Source organism: Homo sapiens, chromosome 6, assembly GCF_000001405.40.
Source record: "Homo sapiens chromosome 6, GRCh38.p14 Primary Assembly".
Lineage (NCBI taxonomy): Eukaryota > Metazoa > Chordata > Mammalia > Primates > Hominidae > Homo > Homo sapiens.
Window position 1 is genome coordinate 159,004,781 of NC_000006.12, and position 19,055 is coordinate 159,023,835.

Below are 19,055 nucleotides of genomic sequence, written 5' to 3' on the forward strand. Positions count from 1 at the left end.
TCTAGCAGCATAGAGGTCTCTGGTGATCTGAAAAAAGGCAACTTTCATGAAGTTGTAGAAGAGAAAGTTCAGTTATAATGGATCCTGAAGAGAGTGACAGAAGAGCGATTTATGACTCAAGGAAAGAAAAAACAAATGGGCTGGTAGTTAAAGGGAAATTGAGTCAAGAAAAGGTTCAATATTTTTTAATGGTAGAATTGACCGTATGTGTATGTGCTTCTAGAAGTGATTCAGGAGAGAGGGTGGAATGGATGGTGTGGGACGGAGGGAAGAATTGGTGGAATGATGTTGGCAAAAAGGAATAGGCTTTTGTGCATAAGTTGAGGGATTGGCCTTGCCTAGAAACATGGACAATTCGTCTATAGTAAGAAGAGAAAAGGTAGATCTATGACCACAGACATAGTCAGATAATCATTTTAAAATTCTTTAATCAATAGATGTTTCTGATGTATGGCAGGCAGTAAGCTAAGCAGTTTACATACCTGATTTCATTTAGTTATTATAACAATCCCAGTCTAACAATGAGGTAGATTCTGATATTATTCCCATTTAATTTGCAAGGAACTGAAATTTAGAGAAGTTAAAATGACTTACCAAAGTCATATAGCAAGCAAGTGACAGGACCAAGACTTAAGCCCTTGACTGCTGGACTCTAGAACTTAAGCAAGAAAGCATCAGCTTATGATGTTCATTGTCCTCCCACTCCCAGATCCCCCATTTCTTGCCCCTTTTGCTTGTTCCCCCTCCCCTCATTCTCCATATCCCAATAATCACTAAGTCCTGTCCATTTTACTTCCTCAGTGTTTCTTGCTTCTGGATCCTCTTTTTTGTATCCTTCCTATTCCTACCAGCCTTTGACCTCATCATTCTGACCTCATGTAGTCTAAATTAAATCGTCTATGGAACCAAACAATAATCGAACAGAATGTGATCCTTGATCATGCTTGCTCCATAACCCACTGCCTAATGAGTTCAAGTTTCTTAAACTATGCTATAAGCCTGCCACTACCCGGTTACTGCGTATTTTTCGAATTTCACATCTCACTGATTTCTGTCTTGTACTTTTTTTCTCAGCAGAGCTGAGCGCTTGCAGTCCCACTGCATGAACTATCATGTTTCCACGCTGTGTTTGTGCTTTATGATTTTTCCTTGTCTCTTTTCCTGGATTTTTTTTCTACTCCTCTTTTAAACCTCAGCTCCTGTTGCTTTCTCCAGGAAGGCATTTCTTTTTTTTTTTGAGACAGAGTTTCACTTCTTGTTGCCCAGGCTGGAGTGCAATGGTGCTATCTCGGCTCACTGCAACCTCTGCCTCCCAGGTTCAAGCGATTCTCCTGTCTCAGCCTCCCAAGTAGCTGGGATTACGGGCATGCACCACCACACCTGGCTAATTTTATATTTTTAGTAGAGACAGGATTTCTCCATGTTGGTCAGGCTGATCTTGAACTCCCGACCTCAGGTGATCCACCCGCCTCGGCCTCCCAAAGTGCTGGGATTACAGGCGTGAGCCACAGCACCCGGCCAGGAGGCCATTTCTGATGCCTCTAACTTGGGTTCATATAGTTTGCAGCCACAACGCCATCTTTTACTTGCCACATGGCTTTTATAATGATTTGCTAACATGTTTGCTTCCACTAGGCCATGACTTCCTTGAGGGTAGGGATCATGTTCCATTTGTATTTGTAGTCCTACCATATTACTTAATGTTTGGTTATAATAGTTTTTTGAATGAGTGAATAGCAGGGGTATACAATTTATCCAAGAAAAGAAGCAGCAGCATATTTTCCATTTAAGTGTGCAAAAAGTGAGTGAAAGGCTATGGTTTCAGAAATGTTTTTAAGTGTAGGTAAATGTATTAGTCTGTTATCACATTGCTATAAAGAAATACCAGAGGCTGAGTAATTTATAAAGAAAAGCTGTTTAATTGGCTTATGGTTCTGCGGGCTGTACAGCAAGTGTGGCGGCATCTGTTTCTGGAGAGGCCTCAGGAAGCTCCCAGTCATAGTGGAAGGCAAAGGAGAAGTGAGGTGTCTTACATGGCAGGAGCAGGAGCAAGAGGGAGAAGGGGAGGTGCTCCATGCCTTTGAACAATCAGATCTTGGCCGGGCGCAGTGGCTCACACCTGTAATCCCAGCACTTTGGGAGGCCGAGGCGGGAAGATCCCCTGAGGTCAGGAGTTCGAAACCAGCCTGGCCAACATGGTGAAACCCTGTCTCTACTAAAAATACAAAAATTAGCCGGGCATGGTGGTGTGTGCCTGTAATCCCAGGTATTTGGGAGGCTGAAGCAGGAGAATCACTTGAACCTGGGAGGCAGAGGTTGCAGTGAACCGAGATCATACCACTGCACTCCAGCCTGGGCGACAGAGTGAGGCTCTGCTTCAAAGAAAACAAAACAAAACAAAATTAAAAACCCAGATCTCGCAAGAACTCATTCACTATCCTGAGGACAGTATCAAGTAGATGGCAGTAAACCATTCATGAAAAACACCTCCATGATCCAATCACCTCCCACCAGGCCCACATCCAACATTGGGAATTATACTTTGGCATGAGATTTGGGTGGGGACACAGATCCAAACCACATCAGTAAGAGAATGCAAGGGAGAACTTAATATAGTTCATTATTTGACAGACACTAAGCACCTTCCCTGTACTGAGCAGTATTATAAGAGCTTCGGATAGATGAAGCTTTTGTCCTACTGTAGGGAAGTAGATAATAGGCAAATAAATCAAAAAAGAAAAAAAGAAAATTTCATGAAATGATAAAAGCTTTGGTGAAAACAAAACAAAAACTTTGTGGTGGTGTTGGGGGGCATGAGTAGCTGCCTTCAGTTAAGTAGCAGAAAAGGCCTGAGAAGGTAACATCTAACTAGAGACCTTGTGACATAAGAAGCAGCGAACCACATGAAGTTCTGGGGGAGCCGCCCAGACAGAGGGCGGTGGCTAGTGCACTGTTCCTAAGGAAGGAACAAGCTTGTATGTTTAAGGAGCAAAAGGAAGGCCAGTGTGGCTAGAACATGGAATGACGGGGAAGAGTGGTTAGACGTGAGCTTTTAGAGCATTTTGAGGAAGCTGGGGGCAAATTGGAGGGCTTTGTAGAATGGAGGAGGAGTTGGGATTATGGGGAGCCATTCAAGGGTTTTAAGAAAGGATATCATCTGAGTTATATTTTAAAAAGATCACTGATTGCTATGTGAAGAATGGATTGTAAGAGGTGAAGATTAAGTTGCTAGTTAGGAAGGTGCTGAGTAGGTTAATGAGAGGCTCTGGCTTGAATTAGGGTGATAGTAGGGAAAATGGAGAGAAGAGGTACATTTGGGAGCTTTCAGAGAACGAACTAAGTCCCTTTATTCCTCTACTCCTCACTGCCACTTACTAATAGTAAGTAGTGGAGGACTACAGAATGACTGCTAAGATTTTGGCTTTACTAAACTGACAGGATGATCATGTTATTTATGCGATGCAGTCAATTGTTGGAAAGAGTAGGAGACCAAGAGTTTTGTTTTGGACAGATGCTATTGGACATCCAAATACATACGTCACATTGGCAGGTTAGAGATGCGAATCTGAAGTTCAGTGGAACTAGAGATATAAATTTGGTACTCATGAGCACTTAGATGGCTTTAAAACATTTTAAAGGAGAAGGGAAACTGATTTTGCCAAATCCAAGGGTTTTAGGAACAGTGTGTTCAACCTGGTCAGATACCACTGAGAGGTTGAGAAAGGTGAGACTTGAGAAGTAATCATTGAGTTTGCCAACCTGGAAGTCATCTGTAAACTTGACAGTCACACAGATTCTGTGAAGAGGAGGGGACTGAAGCCCATGTAGAGTGATTGAAGAGAGAATCTAGTTACAGAGGCAGAGTTGCAACCCTAGGTTATTCTTTCCAAAAGTTTTGCTCTTGTCTTCTTAGTGAAGTGCACGAAGCCTTTGGACATCTCTGCAAATGGGTAGCAGTAGAACATGAATTAATAAGCTTTTGCCACAAGGTGTCACTAATTCTTCATTAGCTTCTAGTAAGCGAAATAATTGCAGCCCAGGTATACCTTGTATTAGGGAAATATTATTTTTAAAAATCATATTTACAAAGTAGGCCAACTTGGCCCGGCGCGGTGACTTATGCCTGTAATCCTAGCACTTTGGGAGGCTGAGGCAGGCAGATCACCTGAGGTCAGGAGTTCAAGACCAGCCTGGCCAACATGGTGAAACACCATCTCTACAAAAGTACAAAAATTAGACAGACATGGTGGCAGGCACCTGTAATCCCAGCTATTCGGGAGGCTGAGGCGGTAGAATTCCTTGAACCCAGGAGGCAGAGGTTGCAGTGAGCTAAGATTGCGCCATTGCACTCCAGCCTGGGTGACAGACAGAAAGAGACCCAGTCTCAAAACAAAAACAAAAACAAAAGCGAAACAAAGTAGCTAACTAGAAGGCAGTTACTTACATGGTGGAGAGGTTTCCTTTCAAAAGACAGTCTCTAGTATGTTTAACAAATGTGCATGGCCGTCAAGTGGTGCGTGGAGCACTGGGCTAGCAATCAGAAGACCAGAGTTCTGGGTGTAGAGTATTGGATTTGGAGTCAGAAGCTTCGAGTTCATCTCCTGTTTTGTTCTCACTAGCTATGTGACCTCATGCAAAATTTAAATTATTCTTTGTCTTATTTTGTTGTTGTTATTTTAAAACGATAGATAGTAAATGCTGTTCTGGCCATCTCAAGCAATTATTTTTGCATACCAAAAGAGATAATGTGTGTAACAATTTAGAAAATTATGAAGTGCTATGTAAATATAAGATTTAAAAAATTTTATAAAAATTATTTATACCGAACTTTACAGCAATATAGGTATTATGTAAAGCAGTTGTATTAGTGAGAACCCCCGGTTGCATAAGGGAGAAATCCAATTTGAATTTGCTTGGCAGAAGGGCATGTTTTGAAGTTTATGGGGTGGTTCCTGTGCCTTCAGGGATGGCAGCATTGTGGGTGGGCTTTAGGCATTGCTGGAATCAGAGATTGGAATGACGGCAGCATGTGTACCCTTCATTCCCCTTTGCTTCTGTCTGGTGCCTTTATTCTCTTTGGCCCAAACTTACCTCCCCTACCTTGTGGGGGAACATTTTGATATTGTGATTGTAGGGCACCTGCATGACAACATCCTATAGCTTGAGAAGGTGAGAAGCTGGGGCTGGAGAAGTAGACGTAGAATTACCTTGATTTTGATGAAGAGAATAAGAATTTTGAATTTATGAGTGCCATTGTCAGTTAATGCTGACCTTCCAGTTTTGAAAAATAAAACTCACATGCTCTGAAACAGTTTAATATCCTTGAGTCTGCATGTCTTTGCCTGCCTGCCCGTCCGCCCGCCCGCCTGCCTGCCTGCCTGCCTGCCTGCCTTCCTTCCTTCCTTCCTTCCTTCCTTCCTTCCTTCCTTCCCTCCTTCCTTCCTTCCTTCCTTCCCTCCTTCCTTCCTTCCTTCCCTCCCTCTCGCTCTCTCTTTCTTTCTTTTCTTTCTTTCTTTTCTCTCTCTTTCTTTTTCCCTTCCCTTCCCTTCTTCTTCCCTTCCCTTCCTGACAGGGTCTCACTCTGTCACCCAGGCTGGAGTGTAGTGATGCAAAATCATGACTCACTGCAGTCTTAACCTCCTGGGATCAAGCCATCCACTGGCCTCAGCCTCCAGAATAGCTGATACTACAGGTAGTTGCCACTATGCCCAGCTAATTTTTCTATTTTAATTTTTTTTCCAGTTTTAAATAGTTTAAAAATTAGCCAGGCATGGTGGCGGGTGCCTGTAGTCCTAGCTACTCAGGAGGCTGAGGCAGGAGAATGGCGTGCACCCGGGAGGCAGAGCTTGCAGTGAGCTCAGATCTCGCCATTGCACTCCAGCCTGGGCGACAGAGCGAGACTCTGTCTCAAAAAAAAAAAAAAAAAAAAAGTTTATTCAAGAAAAAGCTGGGAGTGGCCCATTCAGGAGGAAAAGACTCCAGAGAAACAGGGTCAGTGCTCCAAACGTCAAAGGTAAGTTCTTAATTATAGAGGCAGAAAACAAAGACATTAACAGGATTACAAAATTTTTTATACAAGGCTGGTTTAAGATGAAACTCTAATATATAGGACATAAATAAGACTTCTAAAGTGTGTTCTAAGAACACCTGCCAAAATTATCAAAATTCTGTCATTGTTCCTGGGATTCATTTAAAATGACAGGGCTGGGGACTCCTGGTTTAAAGTGGCATTGACTGAAGTTGGAATTTCTTCCAATTCTAACTAAATACCCATGGCAGTAGGACAGGGCATGTCCCATTTCTGTCTAGAGGAGCACAGTAGCTGGAAATGGGAGGGAGCTGGGAGCTGGACATTGCAGTCTGTTTTTTAGCTTGAAGAGGAGATTGACAGGCACCCAGGTAGATAGAAAGTGAGGCCGAGGACAATATGATGTGTGTCTGTTGGTGGGCACCAGGTCTGGATCTGTTCTATTCATTGGAGGAGGAGGTGAGGAGAAACATAAAATCTGCGAAAAAATGCTGTCAAGTAGGAGGAAGGGAACACACATTTGAATAATCAGAGGAAGACAGAGCTCTAAAAATGAAACTCATTGGTATCCCTAAAGATGCTGTTTGGTACCACCTTTGAATAAAGCCATGCAGAGAATTCTTAAGATGCAAAAAGACGGATGTGATTGAAAAAGACTGATATTATAGGCAAAAATATTTTTTAATGCTTACCACATGCCAGCAATGGCGCTCGGGGCTGAGGATATAATGATGAATAAAATTGCCATGATTCTTGTCCTCTCAGAATCTAGTGAGGTACCAGACAAGGGAACTGGCATTTCCAATTCAGTGTGAAATGTGTGATAATAGGGTTGGCAGGGCACAATAGAAGCACGAGGACTCCGAGCCATCCTTGGCGGTCGTGGCAAGCTTCCTACATGAAAGCTGGAGCTCAGAGCATATGAAGATGTAGGAGTTTGCCAAATGAAATGACATGGTGGTGGAGAGTGTTTATGACCAAAGAATGCCGTGTGTGAAGCCCTAGAGGTGAGAAAAAACCCAAGATGTTGTCCAGGCCCAGTGGCTCATGCCTGTAATCCCAGCACTTTGGGAGGCCAAGGCAGGAGAATTGCTTGAGCCCAGAAGTTTGAGACCAGACTGGGCAACATGGTGAAACCCCATCTTTACAAAAAAATACAAAAATTTGCTGAGTGTGGTGACACGCAGCTGTAGTCCCAGCTGCTTGGGAGGCTGAGGCCAGAGGATCGATTGAACCTGGGAGGTAGAGGCTGCAGTGTGCTGTGATTATGTCGCTGCACTCCAGCCTGGGTAACAGAGGGAGACCCTGCCTCCAAAAGCAAATACAAAAACAAAACCCTAGAATGTTGAGGAATTGAGAGAAGTTCAATGTGTCTGAATCAGAGTATGAGGCAGGGAATATCAAGAGATAAGTGATTAAAAAGCAATTAAAGATGAATAATAGCATTCACATCCACATAGAGAGAATGCTGTTGAATGTCAAATGAGGGATGTGAAGAACCACCTAACGTATGTTGCCAGAATGCAGAGAAAAGGATTAAAAATATTGGCCGAGTGTGGGAGATGAGAGCTATCTAGGGGAGGGAAGAATGAGTCAACGCAAGAATCTTAGGTATTCCTATGGGAAAATAGAAGCAACAACCAAAGACCTAATTAAACAAGTGTTTCTTGTGCTGAAAAGAACTTGAAGATGAAGATCAAAAGAATCCACCACAGGGCTGGGCGCAGGGGCTCATGCCTGTAATCCTAACACTTTGGGAGGCTGAGGCAGGCAGATTGCTTGAGGTCAGGAGTTTGAGACCAGCCTGGCCAACGTGGAGAAACCCTGTCTCTACTAAAAATACAAAAATTAGCTAGGTGTGGTGGCGTGTGCCTGTAATCCCAGCTGCATGAGAGGCTGAGGCAGGAGAGAATTGCTCGAACCCAGGAGGTGGAGGTTGCAGTGAGCCGAGATTGCACCACTGCACTCCAGCCTGGGTAACAGAGCGAGGCTCCATCTCAAAAAAAAAAAAAAAAAAAAAAAAAGAATCCACTGCATTCCAAGAAAAAAGAATGACAACATTTTCACATTACAAAGATATAAGAAATAGACCATATGAGCATTCAGATAGAAAAAAGTAAGTTTCCTATGCAGGAACAAAAATCTCTCTGGCCATAGGCTTTTTTTTAAAATTTTTTAATTTTTTTATTTTTTGCAACACCCAAGATCAGAAGACAATGAAACCACACGTAGTAGAGTTTTCAGGGGGAAATGTTGGGAACAACCTCATGCCCAACTAAGTCTGTTGTCTTTCAAGGCAACAGCATATACTTTCAGATTTGCAAGGCCTGGTACCATAGACCTTCCCGTCCTTTCATTAACACATCTCAAAGATCTGCTACTCAAAAGAGTGGTCAAAATGAAGATCTCAGTAATGAGGAGATCATGATCCACTTTAAGACCAGCATTGTTCATGCTGGACCCACACACAGGTATTTGATTGGCCTCCATGTGGTCTGGTCAGTTCTGTGGCCACGGGCTGTGGTTTGGCCTGCAAGAACCTCCTTGAGCTGCTCCTCTTAAGGTCTCCGTCATTTCCCGGAAAGTGGATTTCTTGCATCACATGCTTTACCTCATGTTTCAGAAGAAATGTCATGATTGATGACCACATGAAACTGATTTGGCTCCAGGGTCTGTAATATTGGCCAAACTATTTACATGGTTGAGAGCCAATGCCGAGAAGAACCAAACACTTCCTCTTCCTCAAAACCAGAGCTGTGTAGTGCATCGTATTCATCATTAGCATCACCAAGAGCTTCACATGTTTTCTATGTCTTTTTTTTTTTTTTTTTTTGAGACAGTCTGGCTTTGTTGCCCTGGGTCTGCTCTTGAAATCCTGGACTCAAGTAATCCTTCCACCTTAGTCTCCCAAAGTGCTGGGATTACAGGCGTGAGCCACTGTGCCCAGCTGTTGTCTGCATCTTTAAGACTTCAATGGTTACCTGATTTCTCTGACTTTTAACTAGGAAGGAATAGTAAAAGGTCTAAGCAGCCACGTTGTCAGAAAGCTTCAGTTCATACTGTCCTCCACCTGGGACTTGTGAATGTCCCTGTGTTACCTATGGCTGGACTCAGTATATTCATTATGTTCATATAATGCAAATATTTAGAAGTGAGGCTGACCTGTTTTTTATATTTTTTAAAGTAAATCTCAGAATCAGAGAAATTATCATTTCCTTTTGATCTAAGAAGTTAGTGACTCACTTTAGTAAGAGAAATATTTTTAAAGGCACAGAAAAAAGACTAAGAATTATAATAATATAAGAAAATATTTCTGACTAGAAATATTACAGTATAACTATTGCTGGGTAATTAGCCCTCCGCCCACCTCTGAAATTACTGACTTGAACAATGTATTTGGAACCTTCAGAAACAAAGCCAATAGTGTATAAATACATACATTATAAGACCTTTATTATAGGGAATTTATTATGAGGAATTGGCTCATGGATTGTGGAAGATGAGAAGTCCCATAGTCTGCCATCTGCAAGCCGGAGACCCGGGAAAGCTGGTGGTACAGTTCCAGGCTGAGTCGAATGGCCTGAGAACCAGGGGCACTTGATGGTGTAAGCCCCAATTTGAGGGCAGGAGAAGACTGATGTCCCAGCTCAAGTAGTCAGGCAGAGGGAGCAAGTTCTACCTTTCCAGGCCTTTTGTTCTGGCCTGCAATGGACTGGGGAAGGAACACTGGGGAAAGCAATCTGCTTTACTCAGTCTATGATTCCAGTGTTAATCTCATCCAAACACCTTTACAGACATACCCAGAATAAGGTTTATCTATTCAGGCATCTTGTGGTCTAGACATAAAATTAACCATCACAAACAACATGCATTTATTGTGCTCAAGGGTTCTGTGGATCTGGAATTTCAACAGGGCACAGGAGGGAGGGTTTGTCTTTATTCCCTGGTGTCTGAGACCTCAGCTCAGTAAGACTCAAGCTGGCAATGACTTGGTAGCTGGGGGCTGGAAGCATCTGGAAGCTCTTTCATTGCCCTGCCTGGTGCCTGGGTTGTCATGACTTGAATACTAGGATTACTGAGCGGAGCAGTCACCAGCTTGCCCAGATTCAGAGAAAGGGGGACACAGACCCCAACCTCAATCAGCAGAGTAGCAAAAGAATTTCTGGCCATACTTTCCAAAACGACCTGGTAATAACTTGTTAACATCGGTTTTCTTTGGCTCATAGGATTTGGGATGGTGTTCTGTGTTGAACTGTGTCCCGCCACCCCCTTCCAAATTCATATGTTGAAGTTCTAACCCCCACTACCTCAGAATGTGACTATTTGGAAATCGTGTGTTAATTACTTAAGTTAGAATGAGGTCATACTGGAGTGGGGTGGGCCTCAAATCTAATAAAACCAGTGTCCTTATAAGAAGGGGAAATTTGGATACAGATTTGCACACTGGGAGGACACCATGTGAAGATGAAGGGAGAGGTCAGTGTAATGTTCTGTCAACCAAGGGATGCCAGAGATTGCCAGTAAAACACCAGAAGCTAGCTGGGAGGTGTGGAACAGACCCTTCCCTCACAGCCCTCAGAAGGAACCAACCAGCCCTGCCAACACCTTGATCTTGCACTTCTGGCCTTCAGAACTGTGAGACAAAAAATGTCTGTTGTTAAACCATGCAGTCTGTGGCACTTTGTTATGACAGCCCTCGCCAACAAATACAGATGGTTTTAAGGTTTTTTATACTTTTCATATTTTTGACAGGGAACATATATTTCTTTAATAATGAGAAAAATAGATTTGATTTAATTTAATGTTTTCAATTTCTTTGTTCCGTAAAAACATGAAAATATGCCAAAATCTTTCCATGGTTGTGTCTAGGTAATGTGACTACAGGTAATTAAAAAAATCCCATCTACTGAAAACGTTTTCTCTAATGAGTATGTGTCACCCTTATTATGGTGAGGAAAAGAAGGCTGGAAAAGCCACCATGGGAAGTAGAAAGAGCACCTGCCCTGGGTCCCACTCCGCTGGGGAGTAGCTCTGAGTCCGGCTCCCAGTGTGTAACAGGGGGAGTCTTCCTCAGTGTTGGGAGAGGCAAATGCATGCATCTATGCAGACACACACAGAATCCCGGAATCCAGTATCTGGCGCTGGGGCCTGGTGAGCTGCACTTTGCCTCCATTCTCCACAGTGTGGTTTACAGCCTGTGGCTGTGATTACGAGTGGTGGTGGAAGATGTCAGTACTTTAAGATATACATATATATATTTTAAAATATCTATATATGGATATATATATTATATCTATAATATATAGATTATATATCACCTATATATAGATAATATATATATAGAGTACTATATATATATAATCTATCTATCCATCTATATGAGAGAGAGAGAGAGAGACAGAGAGAGAGACAGAGACAGAGTCTTGCTCTGTCACCCAGGCTGGAGTGCGGTGGTGTGATCATAGTTAATTGCAGCTTTAAACTCCCTGGGCTCATGCAATCCTCCCACCTCAGCCTCCTGAGTATCTGGGGCCACAGGAGCATACCACCATGCCTGGCTAATTTATTTATTTATTTATTTTGTAGAGAAAGCATCTCCCTTATGTTGCCCAGGCTGGCCTCAAACTTCTGGGCTCAAGTAATCCTCCTACTTTGGCCTCCTGAAGTGCTAGGGTTACAGGCATGAGCCACCATACCTGGCCACAAAAAATATTTCAACCACAATCATGTCTCTTTTCATGCTGACTTACCTCGTTGAATGGCCCTGGAGTGGTCATGGGGATTTTAGGACTAGGCTAAGGGAAAGCTGACTTATGGATATATTTAGTTTGATTTCAGTGAATGTCTTAATCCATTTCAGCTGCTATAGCAAAATCCCATAAACTGGATGGCTTATAACAACAGAAATTTATTTCTCACAGTTCTGGAGGCTGGGAAGTCCAAGATCATAGCACCAGCAGATTTGGTGTCTGATGAGGGCCCCTTTCCTGGTTACAAATGGCACTTTCTCTCTTAATGTCCTCATGTGGTGGAAGAGGTGAGGGGTCTTTCTCAGGCCTCTTCCATAGGGCACTAATCCCACTCATGAGGGCCCCAGCCTCATGACCTCATCACCCCCCCAAATGCACCACCCCTTAGTAGCATCACCTTAGGGGTTAGGATTTCAACCTAGGAATCTTGAGGGAACCCAAACATTCAGGCCATAGCAATGGGATTTACTTATGTGCTTTGCAATCACTTCCTTAAGTAGGTAAGTTATTCATAACTATCCTGGGGTGGGAGGGGCTTTCAAAGATAGTCCTACTGACCACTGTGCCTACTCACCAGGCTTGTGACGTGTGCTACGAGAAGAACACTTTTTGCAGAGCCTAACATTGGCAGTATGTAGGTAGTAGAGGAACATTTGAAATATATAGAACCAGCAGTCTGCAGGTATTTTTCCAGATTTTATAGCTCCTATATGAAAAACACTTGGCAGAGATTTCTCCAAATTTGTCAATAATTCTAACAATTTACATGACATTATCAATGAGTTGAGAAGCTGAAATAAATTATTCTAAACTATTAATGTTGGAAAGAACTCCAAATTTTAGCCAAATTAAAGGAAAAACAACTTTTATTCTCACTAGAGAAAATAATTTTAAATCTTTATTTTTTAGGAAAAAAGTGTTTTAAAAGAGCATGCAACTAAAAAAGATAGGAAAGGGAGCACTACCGAAATGTCCCAGGCAGTTAGTAAAAATGTTATTTCATATTTTGGTGAAAAATTTTGTTTGCTGTATTTGTCAGCGTTATTAAATTTATGCTTTATGTTTTTTTGTTCTAGATACATATTTGTGTTTATGATTAAATTTGCATTTGTAAGTTTGCCTTCTTTTTCTTGTAGAGAGCCTCCAAAATTATAAAAACACAGAGCCCCTCAAAATCTGAGTCTGACCTGAAGGAGCCCAGCTTTCAAATCGATCCTTGTTTTCCCACAAAGTTGTTATTTGAGTCTGATGCTACTATTTAGAATTGTAGGTTCTCTGTTTTTCCATTTCCTACAGAAGAACTCAGATTGAGAAAAGCTATTTACCAATCATTTCCTTTTAACCTAAAAGGTTTCAGTGACTCTCTCTAGCAAGAGTTTGAGGGTGCATGCTATTTACCTAGTCAGAGCAAAACCATGATTCAGAGTGTGAGAAAATGGCTCTCATTTTCCTAGGAAGTTTTCAATATAAAAACATGCTGTGCTTTTGAATGAAAAGTAAAATTTAAAGCCAATGGATGGAAATTTCTTGTAAGAAGATGTAAAAAACCCCTAGCTGTTTCTATTCTTGAAAATAAGAGTTGTTTTTTCACAGGGTCTAAGACTTGAATACATTTTTTCGAAATGAATTTGGCCTGTTGTATTAAGGCCTGTGATAATACGATTTCATTCCTTGGTGCAGCTCCTTAAGTACCTTCCTTCTGTAGCCACTGTGCTTTGGTGTTTTAAAGTTAAAAAACTCAGGAAAAAATAGTCTTGGGTCATAAAATTACATTTGCATATATGGGGTTTTAATTTGAAGCCAGGGGTTTCTTTGCCTTTATCTCTGATCAAAGATAAGCTTCACTTATTTTGCTGAACTTATTCTGTGGTTTAAAAAATATTTCCTGTTTTAAAATATAACAGATCTGTTACAGAAAGAACATAAACTAAGTATCCAGCCTAGAATATTTGTCCCCTTTCCCCTATGCTGGGATGGAGAAAAAGAAAAGAGCATGTCTTCAGAATACAGTAGCCTTATGTTAAAATGTCAGCTCCATCTTTCATTAGCTGTGTGACCTTGGGCAAGTTACTTAGTCTTCTCATCTATTAAATCATGCGTATTAATATTCATCTTGTGAAGTTGTGAAAATTACATGATAAATTAAAAACAAGAAAACAATCAAAAAACCTTTTCCCATCTAGTTATAGTAAGTACCTGGCACAAAAAGGAACTAAGCAAACACTTAAAATATGAGAAAGATAAGGCCTTAAGCCTGCTCCTGAGGAGTGTGGAATCTGGAATATGGCAGAAAAGAAGGATCAAAGGGGAAGGGTTAAATTATGGAGCATTTGAAGTTGGTGCATTTCGAAGGAAGTGGTGGAAAGAAGTTGAGTGATTCTAGTTTGGAGAAAGTTTTATATAAAGCTGAGGAGTAAGTGATAAATTACATGTAGGGGACCACTGTTATATTTTCTTGGTTGAATTAAAGAGTAGAAGTTCATTTATTTCTTTATTCTTTTATTAATTCAACAAACATGTAGTGAAATGTTTAACATGTGCCAGGAAGTTTTTTTAGTTCTGGAGAATACAAAGAGAAAGGAGACCCATTTCTCACCCTTAAGGAAGTTATAGTCTACTGGGAGGAGAGAAACAGGAAAAAATGGTAGATATTAAAATGTGGGGTACAAAAGAGAAAGGGAGGGAGGTGGGGTCTGTGAGTTCTTTAGGTGTCAGAGGTAATTCTTGAGCTGAGGTGTCTGCATGGCTGCGAAGGTCCGGTGGCAGGGTGTGTGGACTGTGTAGACATTGTAGGTAGGGAACTGGAATGAACGAAGTCCCAGGTGTACATCAGCTTTGCATGTGTGTGGGAGCTGCTCCAGAGTAACAGCATGTGGGGTCAGTGATGGAGGGCTGGCTTGCATGCATCAGCACAAGCCCGTGAGGGGCCACGTCAGGGAATAATGACAGTGGCTGTGGCAGTGACTCCAAGAACAAATAGATGTAACCTAGGGCAGGGGTCCCTGATGCCTGGGCCACGAACCGGGTACTGGGTACTACTGCTCTAGGGGAAGGTCTGAAAGACCAGGTGAAAGGGTGGGATTTGAAAATTTTGGGAAACATGATGAAGGTGGGGTTTGGAATGTGAGGCTTCCAACTGTATATACTGCTCAAATTGCATGAGGAGGTGGCGCATGCCTGTAATCCTAGCACTTTGGGCCCAGGAGTTCAAGACCAGCCTAGGCAACATGGCGAAACCCTGTCTGTATAAAAAATACAATAAAAGTAGCCGGGCCTGGTAGTGGACTCCTGTAGTCCCAGCTACTCAGCAGGCTGAGATTGGAGAATTACCTGAGCCCAGGAGGTTGAGGCTGCAGTAGGTGCCAGATTGAGACTGTTTAAAAAAAATTGCGTGGGGAAGACAGCTGAGACAAGGATATTAAATAAGAAGACATTTTATAAGCCTGGCCATTTGAAGATATAGGCTTAGACCAGTAGATTGTAATTTAAATTTTACTTTTTTATTTTCCAACTCTTTAATCTCTAGGAATAACTGGAAATTTTAAGAAGTTACTATCTCTGCTATGGGGATGGATAGTCAGACAGCAATGTTCACAAATTACTCTTGAAACTTGATGCAAACAACCTGTTTAAAAACTGATGTAACGAGAGGAATTTCATGGATGCAAATGAACACCTGTGAAAATTCTTCGGCAAGAACTGTTTCATTTAGCAACACCAGGTTAGCAGTTTGAGAGAGGATCTTTTTTGGGTCTACATGCCCAAATTTACAGACTGTTTTGCTACTTGAATCTGCCATAATGTTTGTTGAATAAATAATCTCTATCTTTGAGGGAGCTGTTGAATTTTTTTACAATCAAAATCCTGAAAGGAATACATTTAGATTGTATGCATCTCAATGTGCTCCGAGGCCTGTGGATGTTTGCTGTTCTTTTTAAAGAATTTAGGCATCTTAACTCTTGGCATATAAAATTATTCTTAGGAACGATATGGATATAATTCAAGTGTAATACCACCTATACATTTGCCAGAAATCACAGATATATATGTGTGTGTGTGTGTGTGTGTGTGTGTGTATATATATATATATATATATATATATATATATACTTTTTCTCATTTCTAGTAACAATGAAAATCCTGTAACTTTTTGCTACAGATGAAAATAACTGGGATCATGAATGAAATGACCAGATGGTTGCCCCATCACCTAACAGTGAGGTGCCCCCGCTTGAAATGTTGCCCCCGCTTGAAATGTTTCTGGTTTCTTTTTTTTTTTTTTTTTCGAGACAGAGTCTCGCTTTGTCACCCAGGCTAGAGTGCAGTGGCGCGATCTCGGCTCACTGCAAGCTCCACCTCCTGGGTTCACGCCATTTTCCTGGCTCAGCCTCCCTAGTAGCTGGGACTATAGGCGCCCGCCACCACGCCTGGCTAATTTTTTTGTATTTTTAGTAGAGACGGGGTTTCACCGTGTTAGCCAGGATAGTCTCGATCTCCTGACCTCGTGATCCACCTGCCTTGGCCTCCCAAAGTGCTGGGATTAAAGGCGTGAGCCACCGCGCCTGGCCAACATGTTTCTGGTTTCTTAAGACTTTAGTATATTGTTCTTAACATTTATTTGGGATGTATTTGCATTTTTGGAAGCTGACCAGTTTCTACACATATCTAAATGCCTCCTTACATTTGACAGTACATTTAACATGCTAAAGTACTTTTCTTAGATATGATCAATTTTATCCTTGAAATAAGCCTATTGGGAGCCATGGACACCAGCTCATTGTGGTGAGGACGCTGAACTCAATGGTGCAGATACAGTGGTGAAGGAGACACACACCCTGTGGTATGGTGGAGTAGACTCCTAACAGACCAACCCTGCCACAAATATAGCAACTATAAACTGGACAAACTACCAAAAGTAACTACTTAAGAGACCTGGGAAGTGAGCAAATGCAGGCAGAGGGGAGTTGAATCTTGGAGGAGAGTGTGAGTTTCCTGTTTTTCAGCCTTGTCCAAAAGATGGGCCCTGGTCACAAAGTGTCTGGGGGTGGCTAAAACTCCCATAGAAAGACTGCCATGTTTCTGGTCTAGGGAACCAGGGGCTGGAGCCTGGGGCAATCATGGCCACGAGAGTGAGGGAGAAATCCCAGAGAGGACAGAGCCAGAGAAGGGGGCACCCAAATGCTGTATCTGAACTCTGCCCAAGTCTCTAGCTGACCCGTGAACCACATGCACACAAACCAGATTCAAAGCCACTTGCAGCTAAGGTTTGGAGTACTGAATTGAGATTTGAATGGCCACTCACCATGAGAGACATGGAGTTTACAGCCTTCAGTGTAACCAAGTCAATTGCTTGTTAAAACAAAGTATCAACAGCCTTGGAATGAATACAACAGAATTTAGAGTCTTGACTTATGAAACATCCACCATGTCCAAAACTACTCAAAATATGAAGGACCAGGAAAATGTGATGTATTGGCAACAAAGAAGTTAATAAAAAGAGGTCAATTTCAGATGACCGAAATGTTGAAACTATTAGTCAAGGAATTTAAAGCAGCTATTGTGCTCAATAGAGTGAAAAAAATGCTCCTAATAAATGAGAAGATAGGAACTTTTAGGAAAGAAATGGAAAATATATAAAGAAAATATACAAAAAGGGGAAATTTTAGAACTGACAAATACAATACATGAAAAAAAAATTGCTGGATGGGCTCTAATAGCATAATGGAGATAGAGAGGAAAGAACCAGTGAATTTGAAGATAGAGCAATAGAAATTGTCCCATCTAAAGGAGGAGGAGAGGAGGAGGGGGGCGGGGGAAGGGAGTGAGAAACATAGAGAGCCTCAGGAATGTGTGGCACAATATAAAAAAAACTGATATTATGGATAGTTAAAATATCAGGAAGAGAGGAGAAAAAGAATGGGATGGCAAATATTTGAAAAAATAGTGGCTGAAAACATCCTAAATTTAATAAGATGTTTACATTTTCTGATTGGATAAGCTTTGTGAATCCCAAATGGGATAAATACAAAGAAAAACAAACTAGACACATCATAGTCAAACTACTGAAAACAAACAAAAAACAAAGAGGAATCTTAAAAGCGTAAATAAAAATGACACATTTTATATATAGGAGAATAATGATTTCAATGGTTGTGGACTTCTCAGCAGAAATTATAGAAGTCAGGGACAGTCGAATGAAATTGTTGAAGTGCTTAAAGAAAAAACTGTCAGCTTAGAAATCTCTGTCTAGCAAAAATACCCTTCAAGAATGAAAGCAAAATGAAGACATCTTCAGATATCAGAAAACTAAGAGAATTCATCACCAGAAGACCTGCACTTCCAGAAGCTAAAGAAAGTTGTACAGACTGAAGGGAGATGATATGAGAAAAGGAATAAAAAGCATAAAAAATTATAAATATTGGAGTAAACATCAAAGACCAATTTTCCTCTTAATTTCTTTCACATATGCACAACTGTATAAAGGACATAATATTGACTTAAGGTTTATATCACATGTAGATAGATTTTATGGCAGCTATGGCATAAAAGATGGTGGCAGTGTTGGTGGTGTGGCCGGGGAGGGTAAATGGACCAGTAAAATTGCCAGTAGACTGAGAAGTTAAGGGATTATATTATAGTCTCTAGAGGAGCTTCTAAGAAATCATGCAAAAGACTAAAAGACCAATAGGTAAGTTAAAATGAAATTATAAAAATATTCACTTAATCCAAAAGAATATAGGAAAGGGAGAACAAGAGGGACTAACAGCAGAGGAGACAAACATAAAGCAAATAATAAAATAATACAGCATAACCAATTAGTTTTATCCCAGGAATTCAAGGTTTGTTTAACATTAGAAAATCAATATAACTCACCATATTAACAGAATAAAGGAGAAAAACCATCTGATCATTTTCATATGTAGATAAAAAATATGACAAAATTTGATATCCATTTATAAGAAAAATTCTCACCAAACTGACTATGAAGGACTTCTTCAACTTCATAAAAAGCATCTATGAAAAACCTACGGTGAGCATTATACTTAATGGTGAAATATTAAATGATATTCTACCAAACTCAGAAAAAAGGCAAATGTGCTCATTTTTTTTACCACTTCTACTCAATATTGAATTGGAGCTTCTAGCCACTGCAATAAAGAATGATAAAATGATAAAGATTGGAAAGAAGGAAGCAAAATCGTCCTTATTTGCAGGCAATACGATTGTTTACATATGATTGTTTTCTACATCCTAAGGATCTAAAAAATAATTAGAAG

At 41.1% G+C, this 19,055-nt stretch overlaps 1 long non-coding RNA gene across 2 annotated transcripts in view, besides 2 other annotated features; it reads left to right on the forward strand.

Annotated features, from left to right (window-relative positions):
- Positions 1 to 19,055, forward strand: part of TAGAP-AS1 (TAGAP antisense RNA 1) — a 43,184-nt gene that overhangs the window by 4,908 nt on the left and 19,221 nt on the right. The gene's annotated exons all lie outside the window — the stretch shown is intronic.
- Positions 4,327 to 4,616: an enhancer, noted in NCBI's record as "active region_25380". NCBI's record gives its function as "activates an Ori minimal core promoter by ATAC-STARR-seq in GM12878 lymphoblastoid cells {active_cell/tissue: GM12878}" and the evidence as "EXISTENCE:reporter gene assay evidence [ECO:0000049][PMID:35858748]".
- Positions 9,743 to 9,943: a silencer, noted in NCBI's record as "peak6278 fragment used in MPRA reporter construct". NCBI's record gives its function as "represses an SCP1 promoter by STARR-seq MPRAs in K562 erythroleukemia cells {active_cell/tissue: K562}" and the evidence as "EXISTENCE:reporter gene assay evidence [ECO:0000049][PMID:32103011]".